Raw genomic sequence first — 7354 nt, 5'->3', positions numbered from 1 at the left:
TTATGAGGGCATAATTCCATGCATGAGGGCAGAGCCCTAATGAACTAGTCACCCTCCAGAGGTCCCACCTTATAATACTGTCACGTTAGCATTTAAGTTTCAACATATGAATCTGGGGGGATGGGGGCACAAACATTAACACCACATCATATCCTTACCTCCATTTTCCTTTTTTTTTTTCTAAAATAAACATTCATCATGTGAACATGTGTGTGTGTGACTCTGTGCCTGCTTCTATGTGTTGAGGTGATGTGTAAAATAGAGATCAGCACATAGAAGATACTCAGTAATTGTTACATCTCTTTCATTTATTCATACATTCAGGGATATATAATAAATGATTATATTGCGGTATTTCATTATATGATGTTATGACGTGTTGGCTAAAATAAGATAAAATAAACAATAGAATAATTTCTATCATTAATCAAGAAGTTTCTACTAAATCCCTACTCTATGGCAGATATTGTACTAAATGCTCTGGACATACTGGTGAATAATATAAAGTCCCAGCAATGGAAGAGGGCATAATTTGGTGACAGAAGTAGCTGTACAAAGGAAAAAAAAAAAAAAAACATAATACAATGTGGTAAGTGATAGGACAGAGGCTGCACAAAGTGCTAGTGAGCACAGACAAATGAGCAATTAACTATGCTCAGGAAAATCAGGGAAGGTTTCCTAGAGCAGATAACAACTAGTCTGGGGTCTTTCCATGGATGGGAGGAACAAAAAGATAACAAAAGAGCTTTTCAGGTATAGGGAAAAACCTACCCTTCTTTGTCTGGAGGATTGAAACTTCCTGGCGACAGAAAGGCTGAGAAAGCCCCTGAAGATACCCTCCCTGACCCATGGCCAAGAAGAGAGCCTTGGTGTCTACAGCACTCTCCATCTGGGCATCTCACAGCAGTCCAAAAATTACTTCTATCAGGGGAAAAAAAAGAAGAAGAAGAAGAAGGAACCCATGTGGGTTTGGAAGGTGCTTTTCCTGTGAATCACTGCTCTACAACACCCAAACAGAACCTCAGGCAGAGGCAGAATGGGATTTCCCTAGTGCCATCCAAAATAAAGGTTTGTTCAAACCTAAGGTTTAGAGGAGAAAAATGAGGACTTTGTCAGTCTGATGCTGGTATAATCAACCTCATCTTTGTCAATTCAGTCGTATTGTTAGTATATAGATTCTGAAGGACTTGGAGCTGTAACATAGTTGGGGTGGGCTACGGAGCAGGATTTCAGAATTAAAGAGACTGTGGGTTGAGCCCTTGACTGTTTTAGAGATCTTTGTTCTATTATCAGTTCTACTATTGTCTGGTTTGGGGAAAATCCTCTCTTAGAACACTTTTTTTCCTATAAAAATATGGCAGTTGGATTACACTTCTTTGTGTGATTCTTAAAGCTAGGATTCTAAGAGTCTGTTGAGATGCACTGCAGCCTAATAGATCTCTATAGATTTGCATCATTTACTGGGAGACCCAACCATGTTGGCCAGACCATGATGAGACCTGTCTTTGCAGGAGACAGGTGAGCTCACATCTTCACAGGTACAGATGCCCTTTGGTGATAGATTGTATTATTTGTCCACAATTCTTCCTTCCCACCCTGACCTTGACATTCTTCTTGTAGGTCAGGGTGCTTTTCTTGGTTCCAATAACGAGCTGAATCTTATCACTGACTTGGGCCAATAGAATGTGGGCAGAAGTAACTGTGTGTGTCAGCCTTAGTCAATTAGCCTTAAGAGACATGGCGAGCGTGTGTTAGCCTTTTGGAGCTTCTTTCCTCCACCAGGAGAATAGTATGCCCCATAGAGTTATTGCTGCTTCAGCCTGGGTCATGGAATAAAGACATGTGGAGCTGACCTGAACCCATTCCTAAGCCAAGACCCCAGTATAGCACAGCCAAGCCTAGCAGAGCTCAGTCATATGATAATATACGGATTCACATATATACCACAACTGAATTTAAGCAACCTGTGAGCCTGAAATATATTTTTATTATTGTAAACCACAGATTTAAGGGTTGTTTGTCATGCAGCAACATTATTTTAGCCAAAAGTTGACTAATGCAGTAATCCTTTTTGGATTAGAGTCCATAGATTGCCCTACAGTACTGTGAAATGGGGCACTGCATTAATTTTCTATTGCTGTTATAACAAATTAGCACAGATTTAGTGGCTTAAACAACACAAATTTATTACAGTTCTGGAGGTCAGAAGTTTGAAATAGGTCTCACTGGACTAAATTAAGGTACGGTCAGGGATGCATTCCTTCAGAAAGCTCTAAGAGAGAATCCATATTCTTGTCTTTTCCAGGTTCTAAAGATGACCAGCAGGCCAAATACAGTGGCTCATGCCTGTAATCCCAGCACTTTGGGAGGCTGAGGCAGGTGGATCACGAGGTCAAGAGTTCAAGACCAGCCTGGTCAAGATGGTGAAACCCCGTCTCTACTAAAAGTACAAAAAATTAGCCGGGCGTAGTGGTGGGTTCCTGTAATCCCAGCTACTCGGGAGGCTGAGGCAGAGAATTGCTTGAACCCAAGAGGTGGAGGTTGCAGTGAGCCCAGATCATACCACTGCACTCCAGCTCCGGCAACAGAGTGAGACTCTGTCTTAAAAAACAAACAAATGAACAAAATAAAAAAAAAATAACAAAACAAAACAAAAAAAAAACAGCATTCCTGGCTCTTGGGCCTTCCTCCAATCACCAATGCCAGCAATGTTCTTTTTATGCTTCCCTCTCTCTGATTCTTTTCTTCTGCTTCTATCTTCTAGTTATAAAGACACCTGTGATGATACTGCACCTACACAGATAATTCATAATAACCTTCCCATCTCAAGGCCAACTATCAGCAATCTTAATTTCATCTTCAACATTAATTTCTCTTTGATCTGTAACCTAAATATGCACAGGTTCCATAAATTATTAAGGGGCCACATTGGGGGTCGGAGGGGGTATTATTCTGCTTAACACAGGAACCACAGCTAACCCTGTACTCATAGAAGAGCAGAGTGGAAGAAGTATTTATTTATCGGGCTCTTGCTGATTGCTCAAGACTCCAGCCTAGAAAGCAAATCAAAACAAAGACTAGGTAGAGCAAATGCTTTTGGTGCCCCACATTTTATATGCTTAGCCTATCTCTTACCTTAGTGCAGCTGTGATGGACAATTCAAAATGTGCTCAAAATGCAACATGTAATAAAATGCACCTTCAGTGGTAAACCACAATATCCCTCCACATTTCTTCCTCATGGCCTTCTCTGGAACTGTAGAAGTGCAGTAAACTCTTACGCAAGCCTAGCCTTGACCGGTTGGGTGGAAGCTGATGAATGAAGCCCCCAGCCTTCTGGGAACAAGGGACTAAGGCTCAATTTTTAAGATTCCTCCAAGGGTGTCAGCAGGACCACAATAATTATAAATTCAACAGCCCACAGTTGATTGGCTTTTCCTCATTTCCTGCTTCTCTCTCTCCATTTTCACTCTACTTCCTAGGATCATCTCCCAATTAAACTGCCTGATACCCAGTCCTCAGACTCTGCCTTGGGAGGAGACCAAGCTTAAACACAGAACAATTGATATTGATGGAATTGACTGAGCAGCCATGTCTTAAGGTTGAAAGAACCCTAAAGGACATCTAGTCCATCTTGTGTGAGATTATCTGGTCCAGCTTGTGTGAATCAGCAAAGTTTAGTCTATAACATCCCTTACTGTGAATTGTCTATTCTCTGTTGATGTACCTCCAGGGATGGGAATACCACTTTTGTGAGGCAAATCTTTCTAATGTAAGACAGCTGTCAATGAAAATTTGCTTCCTTGAGAAAGGCTCTCATTTTCCCTAGTTTATGTTTTTAAATGCATCCATAATGTCGTATATTCTTCCTTATGAAAATACTCTGAGATTTAGAGACAAAAAGTGATGCAACCTAAAACTTTTCTTTGTTTATGTTATTGCCCCATGGCTTTTGACCATACCACACATAATCAGATATTCTTACTATTGATGGAATCTTCTTTTAAGTATAAACAGCTCATAACTCAACTGTTTCATGAGCAAACATTGAATTTTTGCTTATGTAAAACAATGTGAATTTTTTTCTTAAAAATGTGGATTTCAAAAACCATCTATGTCACTTGTTAGCTCTGTCTCCTTGGGGAAGTGTTTCACTCACCAATCATCAGTTTCTTCATCTGTAAAATTAGGATAATGATACTCACATCAGAAGGTTGTCATGAGGAGAATATCTGTTTCCTAATGAACTACCTGGAAAAGCCTCTGAAATGTTATGCTCAAATAAATGATTCAACTTTGGTTCAAACCTCTAACCAAGGAATGGAACTTTTTCACATGGGACTCGAACAAGATTTACAATACATTATGTCTTCACTTTGAAATGACTAAGACATTTCATGTTGAAATGACAAAGGCCGTGGTTAATTGTAGTGCTAAATGTTTAATGTGTCCTTTAGTTTGATCTGGTTATTGATAATATGAATCAATCCTATTGCATGGGACCAAAATACTGTTCCATGTGCTGACATTTTTGCAGTCTGCAAATCCTGGGTTTTGCCACACTTGTCCATTTAGCACCTCCCTCATATAATAAAAGTATAGCAGATTTCCTTTTTGATCATTATGTAGAAGGAGAAAACTGAGGGTAAGAGGGAAAAGTACTTATTGATTCCGTGAACTGTTAGCAAAAAGCCAGTTGAGGATGTGAGGCAGAGCAGTACTGACCAATCATACAGCAAGTGTAAAGGTCCTGAGGCCAACCTTGGCCTACTCTAGTAGCACAAACACTGATGTGTCATTACACAAGTGAGTAAGGGGAATAGTGGTAACAGATGAGGTCAGAGAGATCAGCAGGGGTCCGATTATGTGGAACTTCTTAGGATATGGGGAAAAGTTTGCAGTTTACTTTTAGTATGATGGGAAATCTCAGGAGGTGTTGAAGAGGAGAGTGGCAATATCAGATTTCTGTGTTTTAGATCACACAGTGTCGTTAATTGACTGTGGAGAGTGAGTGTGTCCCAGGGAGACTGGTAAGAAGGTGATCACAGTAGTCTATGTGAAAGATGATGATGGCTTGGAATAAGCACATTAAGGGTAAAACCCAGTCAGGTTCAAGACATATTTTAAAGGCAATGCGGTTAAACCATGGGGTTGAATTGGATGTAGAGTGTTAGGGAATGCAAGGAATCAAGGAGGACTCCTGCATTTTTGGCCTGAGGAATACAGAAAACAGTGATTTCACTCATTGAAAGTGGGAAACTATGTAGAAACCATGAGGAAGTCCCATTTTGGAGATATTACATGTAAAATGTTTATTCAATATGTATGTAATATATTTATATATTTACATATATGTCACTTGTGTGTACGAACCTGAAGTTCATACACATAATCGAAAGAATGAACCTGAAGATAATTGGTGAGGTCACACTAAGCGGAAAAGATATGTTGATGTCATCAGCATATACATGGTGTTTAAAGCCCATAATCCAGCCGGGTACGGTGGCTCACGCCTGTAATCCCAGCACTTTGGGAGGCCTGAGGTCAGGAGTTCAAGACCAGCCTGGCCAAGATAGCAAAACCCCGTCTCTACTAAAAAATACAAAAAAAAAAAAAAAAAAAAAAAAAATTAGCTGTGCATGGTGGCGGGCACCTGTAGTCCCAGCTTTCTGGGAGGCTGAGGCAGGAGAATCACTGGAACCTGGAAGGCAGAGGTTACAGTGAGCTGAGATCATGCCACTGCTGCACTCTAGCCTGGGTGATAGAGCGAGACTCAGTCTCAAAATAAATAAAAAATAAATAGTCCATAAACCAAGATAACTACTCAATGAATATGTGTGCTAAAGTAGGAGAGGACCTGAGACTGAGGCTAAGTCTCCTCAGGTTGTGGAAGAGGAATTCAAAGTCAGTGGAGGATACAGAGAAACGGAGGCCTGTGAAGTAGGAGGAAACCAAGAGAGGGCAGCAACTTGGGAGTTAATTGGAGAAAGTATTTCAAGGAGGGCGTAGGTAACAGTGTCCATTGATGCTGATGTAACAAATAACAGGAGGCTTGAGAATAAGCATAATGCCCATCTAGCCTATCAGTGTGCTCTGCAGGAAAAATACCTCTTTCATTTTGTTAAACCTACTTCTCAAACTTATTTGTCCTAACAGCACTTTTCTTGTTAATATCAATGACCATGCCTCAGAGTAGTCAGTTTGTAAAATGTCGGTCTAGACATAAGGAAAGGACTGAACTCCCGTGACTCCTATTCTACCTGTTTCTCCCATTTTTGTTAAGAAAGCCCCATGAAAATAATCAAGAAAGACAAGATGGCATGCATTCTTGCAAATGCGTGTGGCCGTTCTGTCTGATTTCGATTGGGCAAGGCCTGGTTTCTTGGGCGTGAGAAGACCTCACATATGAAAATTAAGCCACAAGCAAAATCCAAACCACAGCATTCAGAGGTTCCCTTGTCACAAGCCAGGTCTGAAGTTTGGCAGGGGTCCCTGAGAGAACCTTATGAAGGGTGGGCAATACCTTGCCTGGCCTCAGCACTACTCTCCCTTCCCAGAATCCAAAGTTCTACTGTTACTTAGGGAAGTGTCAGGAAAAAAGAAATTCTTTTCCAGATCATTGGCAAATGTTTGCTCAGATCTGTTTTTGGGTCATTAGCTCAACACTGCTGTCTGTTCTTCTCAAAGAATTAGAAGAGTGTTTCAAAAACACATTTATTTGCATCCCTTTCTTTTTATTCCTCTGTTGCCCCCTATTTGCTTTTATTACTTTTCTCTGTCCTTCTTTATTTCTTTATCTGTTTGGATTCAAGATGGATTGTGTCTGTCACTGCATGGAAAAGGCCTGTTGTAGCCAGAGCAAAGAGGGGTTGCTTTGCTATAGCACTGACCCTTGGCTTTCTTCACAACCATTGCAAACGGCTAGGTAATTGCATACAACCTGCATAAAAACAGCTATGCAGCTGCAACCAATGTAGAAACTTCCACCAATCAAGTCAGAGCCACTTATCCCTGATCAAAGTTATGCTCATGCTCACTAATGACACACTTTTTGTGAGACAGGATCTTTGCTGAAAAAGCAAAGGGCTGGGGATGTACAAGTAATGAAAATATAGCTGCAAGTTTCCATGCAGGTTGCTGTCACAACATTCTCATGGAATCCTTACAATCACTCCTTAAGGTACAATGTAAACATCATTATCCCTATTTTACAGTTAAGGGAAACTGAGGCATATTGAAGTGATAGGACTTGCCCACACCAATCCCAACTGGACTATCAGCTCAGGCCTTCCTTTCTCTCTGGCCCAGGGTTTTCACTTATGTTGATTTGAGGAGGGGTAGAGAGAGAAAAAAGA

The sequence above is a fragment of the Homo sapiens genome, chromosome 9 (assembly GCF_000001405.40).
Source record: "Homo sapiens chromosome 9, GRCh38.p14 Primary Assembly".
NCBI classification, from domain to species: Eukaryota; Metazoa; Chordata; class Mammalia; order Primates; family Hominidae; genus Homo; species Homo sapiens.
Note: the sequence above shows the minus strand (reverse complement) of the source record.